The following is a 19,272-nucleotide window of genomic DNA, read 5'->3' on the forward strand; positions in this document are numbered from 1 at the left end:
AACATATTGTGTGTCAGTATTACTAAAATAAATATAAGAATTCTGATTGATCCTCTGGGCAGATTTCCCTAAGCAATTTGCTGCTTTGACCCATTTATTACTACAGATTGTATATCCCTTATCTGAAATGCTTGGGACCAGAAATGCTTCAGATTTCAGACCTTCTCAGATTTTGGAATATTTGCATACACATAATGAGATATCTTGGTGATAGGATCCAAGTCTAAACACGGAACTAATTTATGTTTTATAGTCACCTTACACATGTAGCCCAAAGGTAATTTTATACAATATCTCTAATAATTTTGTGGACACATCACATGTGGTCAGGTGTGGAATTTTTCACTTGTTTTCATGTTGGCACTTAAAAACTTTTGGATTTTGTAGCATTTCCAGTTTTGGATTTTCAGCTTAGGGATGCTTCACATGCACTTGTGGAAAGCAAGACTCCATATTCTTAAAAAGAAAACAATCAAGAGAAAGCAAAATTGGGAGGTCTTCAGGTCTTTATTACTCTATTAATTAATTAATTGTTATTATTTGAAACACGGTCTCATTCTGTCACCCAGGCTGGAGTGCAGTGGCACAATCGTAGCTCACTGCAGCCTTGAACTCCTGGGCTCAAGAAATCCTCCCACCTCAGCCTCTCGAATAGCTGGGACTACAGACATGCACCACCATGCCTGGCTAATTTTTTAAAAAATTTTTAGTACAGACAGGGGGTCTTGCTATATTGTCCAGGCTGGTTTCAAATTCCTGGGCTCAAGCAATCCTCATACCTCAGCATCCCAAATTCTTGAGATTATAGGCATGATCCACCATGCCCAGCTACTCTATTAATTTAAAAGGCGGTGGGTAGGCTTGGTTGGCCATAACAGTAGAAAGAAAATAAAGTGGTGCATAAGTGATTGAGGAGAAGTTACTAAGTCCTCAACCTACAGACTAACTGAAAATATTTGTCTTAGAGATAAACATCCAGAATTCTCTTTCCAAATCCATATTTAAAAATACATTGTCCTGATTACTCAACCACTTAGTCATTAGTTCCAAATAGGTGATTCCTGTTCTTTCTTTTATTTCTAGAGGAAAGTAATTATGAATTAGTGGTATCTATACAAATACTTAAGGTTCCTTGAGACACTAGATCTATAATTTCTGATTCTAGTATTATGATGACTAAAAATATGCAAGTTAAAATTTAAAACTTGTATTAAGTTTTGTTATAAAATTTAGTCTGGAGTGTTAATCAAATTTTTAATTCAAATTTATCAAAGTCACAGTATAATTCAGACATAGTAGTATACATAGATCTTCTGAAAATATACTTTTCAAAATAAATTACAGATATTTATTTTGTCACTCACCCATTATGCATCTATTGAGTACTTACTACAAGGCAGGTAGTATAAGGAAAACAAAGTGGAATGCCAAATTTCCTTGCACTTAAGAAGAACTGTATAGTTTACATGTGGTTGTGGTAGAATGACTTAATTTATCTATCAAGTATATACTCTGTACGCTGATTATTAAGTGTTTTAGAAGGATTTACAATTTTTTTGTGGTTTCACTTGAATTCAGGAATCATTTATATGCCAATTATGCAGCTCTTTCTTTTTCGTTATTTAAATTACTTGAAAAAAATGAAATGTTTAATGGCCTCACCAGTCTTAGAGAAAATTCAGTGAGTCTCATTATTAGATAGTCACATTGAAGAGTCAAGCTTTAACTCTACAACCCACGATAAAATTAGACTCCTCAAGGAGTCTCAAGCTCTTTGAGGAAAGGGGCCTTGTTTTACTCAACCATGTATTCCCATTATAGCACCTAGTTGGATCCCCTGTTTGTTTCATCCTTATGTTTATTTGATGAAAAATCAATACTAAAATTTTTTTAAAGATATATTTTGAGATACGGTACTTGAAAAGTAATATAATCTCCTCTGTGTTCCAGACTCTAAATATAAACAACAAAACAAATAATCAAAATAGGGCCTTACATTTTATCTGTTTATTAGAAACGAACAGATATAACAAAGATGAATGCATGTTTATTCTCTAAGCATCTGCAATAGATCAAAGTTACCAGAATTGCATTCTTAAAAAGAAAAATACTTGAAGCTTAAATTATAGGCTTGTTTTTACTGTTCACTTTAAATTTTCTATTTCCAAACATGGAGGATAATTTTCTTTTTCTTTTTTTTGGAAACGGAGTCTGGCTCTGTCGCCCAGGCTGGAGTGCAGTGGTGCAATCTTGGCTCACTGCAACCTCCGCCTCCCAGGCTCAAGCAATTCTCCTGACTCAGCCTCCCAAGTAGGTGGGATTACAGGCGCATGCCACCATGCCCGGCTAGTTTTTGCGTTTTAGTAGAGACGGGGTTTCCCCATGTTGGCCAGGCTGGTCTCGAACTCCTGACCTCAGGTGATCTGCCTGCCTCGGCCGCCCAAAGTGCTGGGAACACAGGCGTGAGCCACCACGCCTGGCTAATTTTATTTTTCTTGAATTTGTTTTAACTTCATACTTATGCATAACTGAATCTTCCACAACATTTATATTCTGGTATCCCTTTATCATCATAGGTAAATTACAGTTCACAAGTTAATATAAAAATATGTGTCACTAGAAATATTAGGCAATAACTTCAGTAACTAGGTGACAATGATGTCAAAACTCGAGAAATAAAATACAATATTGAGGCTAGCCCTAAGAAAAGAGTCTAAATCTATACCAATTCAACTACTTAACGCCCTTGGTATGTTTTGTTGTTCACTGAGAAATCTGTCAACTCTGATTCAGTTGAACTGAATCTCCCAGTTTGTTTCTTTATTTGTTTTTATGTTTTTCTCACTGCCAAAGTTTGTTTGAAATTTCCATTAGTTAAAACTTCTAGCAATTTCACAGTAATGAGAACACTAACATAATTGTATTAACATTTTCGTACTGTTCGAGGTCAGTATATTTATTTGGTTGTTTCAAGTTTAAACAATAATAATTGAAATGGAACTATAGAAGAATTTGTATAAGAAGGACAAATTCATTTCACTACAATGAAGAAGCAAACATTAGTTCAATTCAACCAACAATGACTGAAGGGCTACCATGTGCCAGTGAGTATCATGGTATCCATACTCAAAAGCCACCGCCACGTGTCTTACACCCCCATGCTGTATTATGTATGTATATATCCATATCATTCTAATTGTCATTATCACCATTACCACCACAGATGTTTAGCCAAATAGGTACATGGACTCCTCTCCCATTCAGTCACTCTTCAACACAACAACTCAAGTGATCCTATTAAGTGAAAGTTGTATGACATCATTTCTTTGCTGAAAGCCTTCCAGTGGCTTCCCACACCACCCAGAGTAAACGCCAAAGTTCTCACTTTGGCCTGTCAACACCCATATGCTGTAGCCCCCATCACCTCTCTGTCCTCATTTCACACTGCCTTTCATATGGCTCACATACTGCGCTCCAGCCACATTGCCACCTCACTGTGTCTAGACCTTTGCAGATGCTATTCCCTCTGCTTAAAAAGTTATTTAACTCCCTCACTTTGCCTCTTTTATCAAAATCTTTATTGTCATCTTAACAGTCAGGCTATGCTTGACACCCACTTAATACTTGCAGCTGAGCATGGTGGCTCACGCCTATAATCCCAGCACTTTGGGAGGCCGAGGTGGTGGATTGCTTGAGGTCAGGAGTTCAAGACCAGCCTGACCAACATGGTGAAACCCCGTCTCTACTAGAAACACACACATGCACACAAAATTAGCTGGGCATGGTGGCAGGTACCTGTAACCGCAGCTACTGGAGAGGCTGAGTCAGGAGAATTGCTTGAACCCAGGAGGCAGAAGTTGCAGTGAGCCGAGATTGTGCCACTGCCCTCCGGCCTGGGCATCAGAATGAGACTCTGTCTCAAAAAACGAAACAAAACAAAAAAATTTGCAAGTCGCCTCCCCCAACACAGCCTATCCCCTTCCTCTGCTTTTCTTCTTCTTCTTATCCTTAGCACTTCTTAATATCTAATATAATGCATGTTTTTACTTTTATCCTATTTATCGTCTGTCTCTCCTACTAATGTAAGCTCTATAAGGGCAGAGATTGTTATTTTTGGTTGTTTTCATTGCTTACTTCTGTATCGCCAGCACTTAGGATAGTAGTTGGCATGTGGTAAGCAATCAATAATTCTTGGTTGAGTTAAGGAATAAATAACAATATTACTACCATTATGAAACATTTATTAAGCTATTATTCTCTGCCATATACTTTGCTAGGTACTTTAAATGCATATTTCCATTATTCTCCTCAAATAAATACAAGTATATTATTATCTCCATTTAGCAGATGAAAAAAATCTAAGGCACAGAGAGGCATTACAATTTGTCCAAGGTTACATCGCTTTTAAATGATGGAGTGTTTATTTCATTATATTGTAAGAAGATATGTCTGTTACTACTACAGTTTTTCATTAATTCTAATAGTCTCATTATTTTACTCTTAAACATCTCATGAGTTGGGATGTGCCTAACCATTGAAGGCATGTCAGAGTTAAATTGACAGATTTTTTTTTTCTTTCTAAGTGGTACATAGAATAATTGATGATGTTGTAGCGTCCATAAGATACAGTTTATTAACTCTTCTTGAGGGTAGTACTCTTTGCTTCATCTCTGAATCCCCGATGCCCAGCACAATGTGTAATGCAAGACAATTACACAATGTGTAATGCAAGACAATCAATAAATATAGGCTGAATGAACAGAGTTTGTGTATTTCTCCTCTTTGTATTTTCTATCTTCTTTGGTAGCTTTTTCCATAAGGCTTTTTAGAGAAGGCTTCCATGAGAGCAAGGAACATAATAATTATTATTCAACATTTTATTCCCAGTACAATGCCTGTCACATGATAGTTGATTAATAAATATGGATGGAATAAATTAATCTTATAGTTCCCAGAGCTGAGCTCTCTCACAGGCATATAACATATGCCATATTCTGATACTTTTTAAAAATTACTTCAAACCTTTATCGGTTCATCAGAAAATATGGGTACATATAGGTTCTTGAGTCAAACTGCCTGCATTAAAATTCTGGCTCTACCACTTGTGAATGCTATGAGATTGGGAAATTTATGTAACCTCTCTGTGCCTCAGTTATGCATGTAGAGCTTTAGAACACTGCCTGGTACATAATAAATGCTCAAGAAATGCCAGAGATTATTTCACACTATTGTTTCCTTGTTGTTTATTGACTTATTTGTATGCTGAACTCTATAGCAAGCTTTCTAGAATCAACAGTTTTTTCCTTAGGTGGTCCTGAATCCTTACTTAGGGGATTTAAACTGCCGTAAACAAAAATAAATTAGCTCTATAAAGATTACTTCCTCTACTCTCAACTGCAGTGAGCAGGCTGCTTTCTTTTATTATTTATTTATTTATTTACTTTTTTGAGATGGAGTCTCGCTCTGTCACCCGGGCTGGAGTGCAATGGCGCGATCTTGGCTCACTGAAACCTCTGCCCGCGGGGTTCAAGCAATTCTCCTGCCTCAGCCTCTGGAGTATCTGGGATTACAGGCGCCTGCCACCACGCCCGGCTAATTTTTGTATTTTTGGTAGAGACAGGTTTTTGCCGTGTTGGTCAGCCTGGTATGGAACCCCTGACCTCAGGTGATCCGCCCACCTCGGCCTCCCAAAGTGCTGGGATTATAGGTGTGAGCCACCGCGCCCGGCCAAGACCCAACTCTTAACTGTAATAACTTGGAATATTGAGAACCTGAACTTGATCCATAAGGAAACAGCCTGGCCGGGCACTGTGGCTCACGCCTATAATCCCAGCACTTTGGGAGGCCCAGGCGGGTGGATCACTTGAGGTCAGGAGTTCAAGAACAGCCTGAACAACATGGCGAAGTCCCGTCTCTACCGAAAATACAAAAGTAGTCTGGCGTGGTGGTGCATGCCTGTAATCCCAGCTGCTCAGGAAGCTGAGGCAGGAGAATCGCTTGGCGCGCGCCTGTAATCCCAGCTACTCAGCAGCTGAAACAGGAGAATCGCTTGAACCCAGGAGGCGGAGGTTGTGATGAGCTGACGTCGCACCATTAAATTCCAGCCTGGGCAACAAGAGTGAAACTCCTTCTCAGAAAATAAAAATAAATAAATAAATAAAAACAGTGGGTCTCCTTAACAGTGCCCATGTTGTTCCATTGTTCTACTTATGAATTTGTAACCTTTGGAGAATTACTGAATCTCTTCGAGACTCAGTTTTGCCATCTGTAAAATAATGATAATTAATAGTGCCTTCTAACAGATTTGTTGTCCTAATTAAATGAGTTAGTCCTTGTAAAGTGTTCAGAATATTGCCGGGCCCATAATAAGTGCTCAGTAAGTTCCCAGCAGGTCTGGACCATAGTAACGCCTATAAAAGCATATGTGAGCAGTATTTGGGACAAATTAATTTCCAAATCCATTAAAATTTTTACATATGTTCACATATGTGTTAAAGTTTCAACAGCATTGTCCTAGTGGAAAGGGATAGATTTTAATAGACCTGGATTAGAATCATGATCCTATCAATTACCAGCTATGTAAGCTCGGGGGAATTATTTAATTTAACCTATTTCATCTCTGAAATGAAGATGAGTATGCTTACCCAAAACTTGTTGGGAGTACTAAATTAGACAGCACATATGTAAAACATTCAGGACAGTTTCTGGCATGGTAGGGGCTAAATATGCACCAGATAATATAAATAAATGCCCCCCAAAATCTTATATTTTTGCTTATCTTATATGATAAAGCCACTACAATTTTGTGTTTATTTAAACAGATAGCTTCCTCAATATCCTTGCCATGAAAGAACTAGAAAGTATAAATGGATCCAATTACAAAAATAAATATGCTTTCATATTGCTGATAGTCTGTGGAGTTTCACTATCTCGGGAGGCCATGGAGCCAAGTATTAAAATGAATTCTGAAGAGAATTAGATAATTTCATGACCGATAATATGAATGCTTCTTTTTAAAAACTAGATGTAATCAAATCTGCTGCCACCAACTGATAGCCATGGGGTCTCAGGCAGAATTTCCTCTTTCTACCCAGGGCACTGCACAAGTAGCCAAAAGCTACTGACAGCATTGTTATGGTTTCAGTTTTCTTATTTCCTTTATTAGGCCCTTGGGAAGGTTTCTTCAGTAGTGGACTTTGGATGTAAATGAACACTTAAAGGGTGGGGAGAAGGAAATGCTTCTGTAGTCAGCCAAAAGATTGTCTACTAGAGTGAAGTTAGCACAAAAGAAAGATTTGTAAAGGGAAAACCATGAAGAAAGGTACATATTTAGAGAGGAAAGGAAAATATGAAGGAGAATAAAAAAGAAAATTAATACATTTTATGAGTAGAAGATAAACCTTTCTTCTCTTGTGAAGTTTAGACTACATTTGTTTGTTTGTTTGTTTGTTTGTTTGTTTGTTTGTGACAGAGTCTCACTCTGTCGCCCAGGCTGTAGTGCAGTGGGGCAACCTGGGTTCACTTCAACCTCTACCTCCTGGGTTCAGGCAATTCTCCTGCCTCAGCGTCCTGAGTAGCTGGGATTACAGGCGCCCACCATCATGCCCGGCTAATTTTTTTTTTTGTATTTTTAGTAGAGACAGGTTTAGCCATGTTGGCCAGGCTGGTCTCAAACTCCTGACCTCAGATGATCCGCCTGCCTCAGCCTCCCAAAGTTCTGGGAGTACAGGCGTGAACCACTACACCCAGCCTTCTTTGCCTATTTTATTACTGATATCATCAGTGAGACTATAGACACCCACCACCATGCTCTGGCTAATTTTATTTATTTATTTATTTTTTTATTTTTAGTAGAGATGGGGTTTCACTATGTTGGCCAGGCTGCTCTCAGACCCCTGACCTCAGGTGATCTGCCCTCCTCAGCCTCCCAAAGTGCTGTGATTACAGGCATGAGCCACTGTGCCCAGCCTAGACTATTTTTGATTGTATAATTTTATATTCTCTCTTATTAATTTTTTTTAGAAGATGCCCATCCCAAATAATAAAAATATTTGTGATCAAGAATAGTAATGCTTTACTAGATTCTTTTTATTTCCTTCAGCTTCTTCTTAAAGTGTTAAGGAAGACTTATAATTATATAATGCATGAAATCATTGAGAATGACATTTTTAATAGCAAAGTATTAAAAACATGGAATATGGAGTCAGAGAATGCCTGTTTAGTTACTACTTGTATGATTATAATTCACTTACTAGTTAAGCCTATATTTTCTCATTTTTAAAACTAGGAATATATAGTAATAATTACTCTACACATTTTTTTGGTCTGAATTAAATGAGATGATAGTGACTTTAAAATATTGCAAAACGGGCCAGGTGTGGTGGCCCACACCTGTAATCCCAACACTTTGGGAGGCCGAAGAGGGCAGATCGCAAGGTCAAGAGATCGAGACCATCCTGGTCAACATGGTGAAAACCTGTCTCTACTAAAAATACAAAAATTAGCTGGGCATGGTGGCACACACCTGTAGTTCCAGCTGCTCAGGAGGCTGAGGCAGGAGAATCACTTGAACCCAGGAGGTGGACGTTGCAGTGAGCCAAGATTGCACCACTGCACTCCAGCTTGGCAACAGAGTGAGATTCCATCTCAAAAATAAAAAATAAAAATAAAATAAAAAATAATTGCAAAATGTAAAGAACTTTACAAGTATTTATTTTCACTGTTTTCTATTATTGTACTCCACAAGTTATAACTCGTAATAGCATTCAAAATAATGTTTATTCTTTTCAAGGCAGGCTGAAGGAAAAAAATTAAACAAATCAAATTCTAAGAAAGAAACGAGTTATGAACAGTAAATTTCAAAGGACAGGAGAATTAAAATTTTCTTTGGGAAGCAAGATTATGAGGGTAAAATGCTAAGAAGGAGTTTTGTTTAGTTATTTTTATGAAAATACTAGTCCGTATAAGCACAATGAGCACAAAAACAGTGATGATATAAGGAAAATTGCAAAATTTTAATAAAATGTCATATGTAAATAGTCACTCAAACTTAATTTCTTTTAGACAATGACTTTTCTCTGATATACAAACACACAAAGCACTTATAACACATAGTTTTATTAAGCTAGCTATGTCATCAGGTAAGATTCAATAACAGTATATATTGAAAAAGTGTCATATCGCCTCTCCATTGCTGGAATATAAACTCTCATAGCCTATAATATAGGCTAGAACTTTGCCAATCAGTGACTGTTCAGCAAATCTATATTTTTTTCTCTTGTATTTAGCAATAAGATGAATCCTTTCTTGGGCGCTGGTGACAGCATGTCTATCACTAGTACCTATTCTGCCAAAAGTTGGCATTGAACAGAGCCTGCGGTAGTCTTACATAGCAGTAAATGGAAGGATGGGTATGGGGGATCAGGGACAGCCTTTAAAATCAATTTTAATTCTGCTTAAAGTTAAATGGAATGGTATGACCCTGCTTGTAGACATCTCTCTGTGGCACAGTTCCATGAAAATAAGTTCTATATTGATCCCTAACATTAGTATGTCTATTAAACTAAGTCCTTCCAATGTCTTTCATAACAAATTGAAGTTTTTTAAAAATACCGTATCATTGTTATTGCTTCATAAGAGTATATTCACTTTAAATCTAATTGTTCTGAGATAGGATCATTTGGGGGAGAGGGAGCTTTATTTTCTTCCTGAATATTTCCACTTTGTCTAATGGACAATGTAAAATGCATTTAAGAAATAATTTTTTCAGTCTGTTAATTGTACACACTCTTAACCACCCCATTTGCTTGTCCCACTTTATCCTTTCTCTTATTTTGTGATGCTTCTCTTTTTGTGGGATACTATATTCTCCACTGCCTTCTTGACCTAGTCCTGATGTTCACCTACCTTTACTGAGAGCTCATTTACTCCTAGTCGGGCACAATACTAAAAGCTAAGGAATTAATCCTAACAACACATATTAGTGTATAACCCAGTCTTGGTAAATTTGAAAAGGCTTCTTGATAGAAATAACATCCAAGCTAAGCTGAAAGGATAAATAGCAGTTAGTTAGCCAGGTGAAAATGGGGGCAAGAACACATTGCAGGATGTGCAAAGGCCCTGAGGCAGAAAGAACAGGGTGCAGCTGGGGAACCACTGGTAATTTTCTATGGTTTAAAGAATATACTTAAAAGATGAGGAAGCATTATAATGAGTTGGAGAGAGAAATTCATGAAGGGCTTGGGCATGAAGAAAACAATTCAGCTTTTGTTTGAAGGGCAGACAGAAACCATTTAAGCACTTTAATCAGTAAACTAACATATTCCAACTTATACCCTAAGAGTATCTCTGGAAAAAGGTAGAGAATGATTTGAATAGGGTAATTTTAGAAAAAAAATAAAGAACATTAATTTTCATTACATGGTACTGGTGCTGTTGTTAAATTATGTTTGGTTTCATTCTATTATCTTTAAAAATCTGAAATCTAAACCACTTAAATAGAGGACAAAGATATATTATTAAACCCATGCTAAAATACATATATCACACAGCAAGCAAAAATCTTGTGGTGGTGTGCCATGGCCCGCTGTGCATGATTTGTGCAGTTGAGACAATAGGCTGGAGAAATCTTGCACTACGTGTGTAACTGTGTAGTTTGTCATAGTGAAAATGATTGCTGAACAAATCTTTTCACCTCCCAGAGAGTTATATGCTGATTAAAATATCTAATCGAAGAAAGGTACCTTCATTTAGAAAGTATTCATCAGTACCTACATAATCCTCGAGAAGGGAAAGAAGACAATTGAAAAACAGAGCTTCTATTTTACAATTAATTCTTACTCTAGTTCAGAGGCATCCTGAACAAGTTCATTTGAGCATGAGATTATTTAACTAATAATAGGTAACTGCTATGAATCTCCATTTTTACATGATCAAACTAAAGAAGACAAAGAAGAAATAGCAATGCTTTGTTTGAAACAAAAACTGTAGCTTATTATCAATGAAAAGATTATAGTCCCTGTCAAAAAATTAAAAGTTGCTCAAAACGGTCCCTTCAGAAGTACAAATGAGAGCTGGCATTATTTGAATTAAAGGAGTTGGAGAAAATAGTTGGAGTTAGCTTTTAACTATTGCCTTACTACTTCCCTATCTTAGTTCATTTTCTACCACTGTAACAATACCCAAGACGGGGTAATTTATAAAAACAGAATAGTTTCTTATAGTTCTAGAGGCTGAGAAGTTCAAGGTCAAGGGGCCCACAACTGGCAAAAGTCTTCCTGCTGCATCATCCCATGGCAGAAGGCAGAAGGGCAAGAGAGCATACAGTTGAGGGGGAGGGGCGGGGACAGGTGGGAGGGGGCCAAACACACATCCTCTTATCAGAAACCCATTTCCAAGATACCTAGCCCTCTCCCACAATAATGGCATTAATCCATTCACGAGGGCAGAGCCCTCAGGACTTAATTCCTTCATAAAGGTTCCACTTTTCAACACTCTTACACTGGGGATGAAGTTTCTAACACATGAACTTTGGGGGACGCATTTAAACTGTAGCATTCCCCACGTAGTATGATGTCAAAAAAGATTTTTTTGTCAGCTGGAAAAATAGCACAAAATGTTCTTACATCTCAGCAGTGACACCATTGACACACTTTTTTTTAAGCTAATACTATGTAAAAATTTAGTTTTTAAGTTACTCAATTTTCTTTATTGTAGGTAATGTTTTCTTTTTAAAACATTTGATTTATTATATATGCAAATTATATATATTAGAGACATTTTTATTGTGTATAGTTTTAAGCTTTCAATTGCACTTAATATTTTGAAATATGTTATTGAATTTTATGTTGGGATTGTGTTATATGTTCAGTGTCAACTTTATTTTATGAATCACGAGCTTTGATTTGGCAAAAGTAAATATTGAAATGACTATATTGCCATTTTGCTCTGCTACTGCTTTCGTTAACAAATGTTGATGATGGGGAGCTGAACGTAGATAGTGATGATTAGAAAGAAAAAAATAGATGGATTTCAAATAGAGGCATGAGACAGAATCAAAAAGACTTGGTTATTTGGGAGATATAGTATATGTGGAAGAAGGAGGGAAAATAAGACACTCTGCCTTCTTGTATGAAATTTGAGTAGATGCAATTCTGAACATTACCATTCATATGGAAAGGGACCATGAGAGAAAGAGAAGGAAAGTTGAGAAGAGAGGGAGGGAAAATAGAAGAAAGAGGCAAAAGACACATAATAGACAGCATCACTTCAAAAAATACTACAATTTCAGTGATGAAATATTCAAAAATATCCCATCCCTTCACCATGTCTCTCCTGTTTCTTTGGAAGCTTTATATACACCAAATACATTGTGAATGAACCTGGGGACCTCCTCGGGGCAGCGGAGATGATGATATTTTAAGGGAAGTAGAAAATGAATTACAAACAGCTAGAGACTCATATCAGAATGCCCTACATCTCCTTAAACATGAGTGATCTTGAATCAGACTAGAGCCAATATCCCTACAGTTTATTGCCAGTAAGTGAGGTTAAGAGTAGTTTCTAATCTTACAGCTAGGTATGCAGTCTGTGTACAGGAAGGACAAGCATACTCTTGCATTTCCATGATGAGAATATGAATATATTTTCCGAGAAAGATGATTCTTTGCAGTGGTTAATTCCATAGTATGCCTATTCCTTGGAAACATAGGTTCAATTACCTAACAAAGAACCTAACTATTTTATTTGGAACTTGGAATACATTTTCCCATTCAAACAATCTTGTTAGAGGATAATTTAGGGTTGTAACTATTTGGAAACTACTTATACTTTACATTAATGAAAATCAAATTTGAAAATTGTGTGAAGGTGAGTCAGTTCTAAGAGCAATAAAGTAGATCACTAAGCTACTCCAGTTTGTGTTTAAGGAGACTATATTCAGGATTGCTCTTTATTTTTTAGCTTGTCAGCAGTTTAATTTCTGTTTCCTTTTTTTTTTTTTGTCCTCTCACCTATTTGCTGCATATTTAGAAATCCATATTACACTTCATGTGAAAATAAAATTTTATATATAGTTCTCCCTTCTATACAAAGTTTGATAATTCTAAGGAGAGGGCTTAAAGTTTTAATCATCTAATTGTCAAAAAGGCTGAGAGCATTAGGAAGCTTACTGAAGAGTTGAGTTGTGCTGTAATTTTGTTTCTGGGATTTGAGTTTCGAAGAACCCTTAAAAAGCTTGTGTTTGGCAGTGGTCAGATGGTTGTTTTGATACTCAAGTGGCATCCTGATACCTTGGTATTGGCTTATTTTTGCCATGTTTAAAATGAAAATCAGGTTGAAGACTTCTAGAGCTTTAAAGCTCTTTGAACTGTCAAATAAAAACAATTTCTAAAGTACTAGGACATCTTGAGGTCCTCCTGTGAACAAGCAATGTAGGTGTTTTCTTTCTAATTTTATTTCAGATATCTCTACCACAGGACCTCTTGGCATGGGAAGCACTACCACCAGTACCACCCTTCGGACCACAACTTTGAGCCCAGGAAGGAGTACCACCCCGTCAGTGTCAGGAAGAAGAAACCGGAGTACTAGTACCCCATCTCCAGCTGTCGAGGTACTTGATGACATGACCACACACCTTCCATCAGCATCGTCCCAAATCCCAGCTCTCGAAGAGAGCTGTGAGGCTGTGGAAGCCCGAGAAATCATGTGGTTTAAGACTCGTCAAGGACAGATAGCAAAGCAGCCATGCCCTGCAGGAACTATAGGTAAGTCTGTGCTAAAGCACTAAGTTAAAACTGTTGTGTTGCTTTGGCTTTATTTTCTAGTATTCTTTTCCTTTTCCTTCCTCCTTTCCTCCCTCCCTCCCTTCCTCCCTCCCTCCCTCCTTGTCTCTTTCTTTCTCCTTCCTTCCTTCCTTCTTTCTTTCTCTCTTTCTCTCTTTCTTTCTTCTTTCTTTCTTTCCTCTTTCTTTTTTTTCATTACAACATATTTTATTACTTCACATTTGACTAAATTCTGAACTCAGCTAAATTACAATTTAAAGCTATCTATTTTCCAGAGTTTGAAAATGTAACCTGATTAAGTCACAGGTAACCTGTGAGACCTGCACTTTGCCCTCATAGTTTCAGGTCTCTGGGTCAAGGTAAAGTTAGGCTGTAGATGTACTGGCTACTCTAGAGGCTCAGCTTTTCTATACAGCAGTCCAGAGGGGATCACTTGATTGCTGGGAGTTAGACTCATGCTTGTCACCAACCATCAGATATTGATTGCAGAAAATGAGGTTGAGGACTTCTATATTAGAAGATTATCATGGAAATGACCTAATATGTAACAAAAAAGAAAGTTTGACTCTCCTTTTCATCAGCCATTGTAGTTGTCCTCTGATGGTCAAAGGCTCTTAACACTGTCAGGGACCATGCTGCAGGAGTCAACCTGGCACTCACTCATGCATCCACCAGAGAACAATCCTGCATTGTTTCCTCTAGGGGATAGATAAGAACTCAATATTTCTTTGCCTTTTTTTTTTTTTTTTTTTTTGAGACGGAGTCTCACTCTGTCGCCCAGGCTGGAGTGCAGCAGCATGATCTCGGCTTACCCTCCGCCTCCAGGGTTCAAGTGATTCTCCTGCCTCAGCCTCCTGAGTAGCTGGGATTACAGGCGCCCACCACCATGCCCGGCTAATTCTTTTTTGTATTTTTAGTGGAGACAGGTTTCGCCATGTTGTCCAGGCTAGTCTCAAACTCCTGACCTCAGATGATCAGCCCGCCTCAGCCTCCCAAAGTTCTGGGAGTACAGGCATAAGCCACTGCGCCTGGCCTTCTTTGCCTATTTTATTACTGATATCATTCATAATATCTTCACCTGTTAACCATATTATTATTTATTTTGCTTAAGCAAAGGTATTCTGATTTTCTTATTGTTACGTACATTGGTATTCATAAATGAATACTTGGCACATTTGCATTATTCTCTAAAATATGTAAATAAGAGAAATTCACAACGTCTGTCATCCAGCATTCTCAGGGACTTTCTCCTTGGGTATTATTGATTTGGATACTTTAAGGAAAAAAGTTTTTCTTAGAAAGTTCTGATATGGGTATATCATTTCATATTCCATGGTATAGGAAATGGTGGGTGGGAAGACCAAAGGGTATCTTGGTTTTTATAAAAAATACACTTTTTTCCAGCAAAATATTTTAAAATATTCAAAAATACTCATTTTATTTAGGAAAAAGAGGGAGAATCCTGTGATCCTGGAATCAGAGAACAGTTGGAAACCATCTTTTTTCTTAGCTCTGTTTTCTTGGTTGTGGTCTCAGTTCCTTTACTTCTAAAAGAAAAATAATAATAGCCCCTTACTGCAGACCTTTGTTTTGAAGATTAGTGAAACACTTTATTTGAAAGCACTTTGCTCTACAGAAATGTGTCATTATTTTTCAGTGACAATTGGAAAAGATATTTTCTGAAGCCCTCAGGGATTACTGTCAATACACCCCAGTCTCATTTTTACCCATCTGTGTCCATTCTGTTATGCCTTTGTCTAGGCCCCCACAGTCTCTCACTTGAATTATTGCAATAGCTTCCTCACCATCACGCCATTACTCTCTGAAATTCATCTTCCATGTTTCTGCCAGAGATATCATTCCAAAACTCAAATTTGCTCATCATCTATCTCCTCTTTTAATATTCTCATTGATTTTCCGGCACCCACAAATGATAGACAAGGGAGTTTATGATCTGGTTTACTTTTCTACTTTCATTAAATACAACTCCCCAGTCCAGTAGACCCCAGTTCAAAAAAACTTGAAGTTTCCCAAAGAACATATATTTTTCCACCTGGAATATCCTTTTCCACCTTGTTTTTTTTCTGAAAAACCTGCACACTTATTTTAAGACTCAACTGCTACCTTGCCTCTACAAAGTCAAGCACTAACCTCCATGGAGGCACATATCACATCATCTCATCCATGAAATTCTTTAAAAACAGTCCTCGGCTGGACACGGTGGCTCACGCCTGTAATCCCAGCACTTTGCGAGGCCAAGGCGGGCAGATCACGAGGTCAGGAGTTTGAGACCAGCCTGGCCAATATGGTGAAACCCTGCCTCTACTAAAAATACACAAATTAGCCGGGTGTGGTGGGGGATGCCTGTAGTCCCAGCTACTTGGGAGGCTGAGGCAGGAGAATCACTTGAACCCGGGAGGCAGAGGTTGCGGTGAGCCGAGATCTTGCCACTGCACTCCAGTCTGGGCAACAGAACAAGACTCCATCTCAAATAATAATAATAATAATAATAATAATAATAATAGTCCCCATACCTAATGTGGCTGCCACAAATGCTTCAAACATATTGTATGTTTTTGTTTGGAGTACTACATTTCTCTAGTGCTAAATGCTTACTGGCACTGTATCTGGTGTTTTAATAAACATTATATCAATTTAATTATCTCATTTTTACCTTTGCTTATTTTAAAATATACCATGGATGTGAAGTCATTCTAAGAAAAAGAAACAGATACATTTCTCTCATTATTACAGGTGTATCAACTTATCTATGCCTTGCTCCTGATGGAATTTGGGATCCCCAAGGTCCAGATCTCAGCAACTGTTCTTCTCCTTGGGTCAATCATATAACACAGAAGGTAAATCTTGTGACTGACAAGAAAGTCTTTGCTAAAACTATATCATCTGTTGTTGATGATAGCTGTTGGAAAAAAAACAGTCAAGAATTCTTTTAAAATCAATGTAGAAAATTTCACATTTAATGACAACCTCTAATATGTTATGAGCTAATTCTAGAATTTTGTTGTTTTTAAAGTGCAAATCCATGAATTTCTTCTTATATTGCTTATAATAATTTTATTATTAATAAAATTTCTCTGGTATTGTGCACTACAGCTATAAAAGTCCAAGAGGCATTATACATTAAGCAAGTAAAAGTTTCTAGCATGTATACTTACGAGTTTTCTTGTGGAAATAATTATAATTTTTCAAAGTCTACCTTTGGAATCTTAAGCCATCTGATAAATGTTCTGTAACCTAATCATTTATCAATGATAAAAATATACACATGTGTGACAGAATCTTGCAGACTCAAATTTTCAGGGCTTATTTGGTTGCAATATGTTGAACATTTTTATTATTAATGCACTGTGGGGCTTTGAATTGATTTCATTACAAACAGAGACCAGATGTGCATTTATGCCAAAAGGGTTATGGGATGAATCCTTATTATAGCAATTTATGTGGATTTATGCACTCCTAAAATGGAGAGTCCTTCTATGGCACATTAGCTATGCTGAGGAATTTCTGAGAGAGATTTTCCCGAGAAATATTACAAATGATGGCCTTACTAAAAGCCTGCCTGTGCCATTTGCTCTTTTCTCTATTTGTTTTTAACCAGACTTATCCTCAATAATATACTGTATAATAATCCATAAATATCTACCCAGTAGATCATTTAGCAGATGAGCCATAACTATCTATTTACCCTAAATCATGGAAGAATAGTGGTTATATTGACTCTAGTTACCCTCTTACATATGCATCTCCGTACTTGTTGCTATTCATAATGATGCTTCTCCAGTTTCAGCACTGTTCCTGCCACAGTTTTTATGTCCTTTGATTTTATTACAATGTAGCTCAGACCCCTGGGCAAATAACTCTTGCTGGATGTGATCAGATTAAGAGATCAGTAGCATATCTCCCTACATTAGCAATTCTTTAAAAACAGTCCCTAGATACTTAGCCCAGGGGTGAATATAAATTCAATAATAATTCTTCTAGAAAAGGCTGAATGTTTTCACGATAATTTCTGAATATAGTTGGACCATTTTATTGTAGAAATTACTAGGTGACTTTAACTGATAATGATGCTTAATTCTTTTCTTTTCTCTGCAGCCCAGCTAATCTTAGGACAAAAGATAATTCCTTTCAAAGACCAGACAGCTGTTGTCCATCTGATTTATGGACAGGATGTTTTTGTTTTGTAAAAAAATACCTCCTATTCTTCCAGTGCATTTTGTTTCATCCTGTAGAGTCTGTAAAACTATGTTATGTGATCATTATATTTAAACTTAAAGAACTTAGTTGATTGGAACTTATTAAAAAAACCTTAGATTGATTACTCAAAAATTTATAAAATCTTAAAAAGTGTAACAAGAGGCTTTTGAGCATTCTGAATCAGCTTATGTAACTTGTCCAAGGTCAGTGGTGGAGCTAATATTTTAGTTGAGATTACCTTCATCAAGACATCATACTTAACCACAACACTGGTTAAACCATGGATAGCTTATGATTGGCTTCACAGCCTTACACTCAGTTACCTATGCTGTCCCTCTGCACTCTGCCTACTCTTTTACTTGGTTGTGTCCCTTATGCCTCCAAATATTTATGCTACTCATTGACTATAAATGATAGTTGAGCAGGTTTCTTTACCACAAAACTCTAACACTTTTAAATATTAGTATTGAAAACTTCAAGAATCTGTTGTAGTGTTCACAGGATTGTTTGTCTATATTTTATCCCCCACCTCCCCAGCTGTCTTTCATAGAATTCATCCCTTTTCTCATCTCCTTCCTCTCATTGTAATACCTGTGTAGTACCAGAGTCCACACAGATGGAACACTTGAGGAGGTTTTGTTTACAATGGTATTGGGGCAGTAAAGGCAAACTGCAAGGGATTGAGCAGAAACCCAGAGCTTGTAGCAGGGAAGGAGCTGTTCCCAACCCCAGGCCTGTAGGGTACCAGATCAAAGGAGTGACCAAAAATAAGGAGCAATTTGTCCTTGGGAAGAAAGATGATCTTAAGGCAAGGGACACAGCTTAGCCCCAGGTGGCCTTTCAGAAAGGAATCCAGGAGAATGAATACCCTGACCTTACTTACCCTCCACCCTCCATTTACCTGTCAAGCGACCCCACTGGCCAAACCCAACCAGAAGCCAAAGAAGGACACACTTAGTGACTATCATGTAAGTCCACCACGTAGGGCAGAAGGCAGGATGGAGGAGGGTAGAGAGTAGCCCTGAACTAGCAAATGGGAGGTACCCAACATAGTCCTTGGCTTTTCTCCACTCCCTTCTCTCACCCTTCTTCTTTTTCCCATTGAATCAGCATTGTTGTCTAAGGTAAATACCCATGGCTCATCATCTAGAGCCAAGAAGATTAAGGACACAGACACACACAAGGAGTGAGTTTAGGAGCAGAGTTTTAACAGGCAAAAGAAGAGAAAGGAGAACAACTCTCTCTCTTGTGAGAGAGAGAGGGGCTCTAGAAT

At 37.5% G+C, this 19,272-nt stretch overlaps 1 protein-coding gene across 59 annotated transcripts in view; it reads left to right on the forward strand.

The window, feature by feature from the left end:
* ADGRL3 (adhesion G protein-coupled receptor L3) overlaps positions 1–19,272 on the forward strand; it is an 878,010-nt gene that overhangs the window by 678,870 nt on the left and 179,868 nt on the right. For 36 of the 59 annotated variants that reach the window (NM_001387552.1, NM_001322402.3, NM_001387522.1 and 33 more), the window contains 2 exons: positions 13,461–13,763; positions 16,536–16,639. In NM_001387552.1, the coding sequence (NP_001374481.1) occupies positions 13,461–13,763; positions 16,536–16,639 (407 nt within the window). The remainder of the gene's footprint in view (positions 1–13,460; positions 13,764–16,535; positions 16,640–19,272) is intronic. The other 23 variants (NM_001387523.1, NM_001371343.2, NM_001387548.1 and 20 more) reach the window with 1 other exon arrangement.

The sequence above is a fragment of the Homo sapiens genome, chromosome 4 (genome assembly GCF_000001405.40).
Source record: "Homo sapiens chromosome 4, GRCh38.p14 Primary Assembly".
Lineage (NCBI taxonomy): Eukaryota > Metazoa > Chordata > Mammalia > Primates > Hominidae > Homo > Homo sapiens.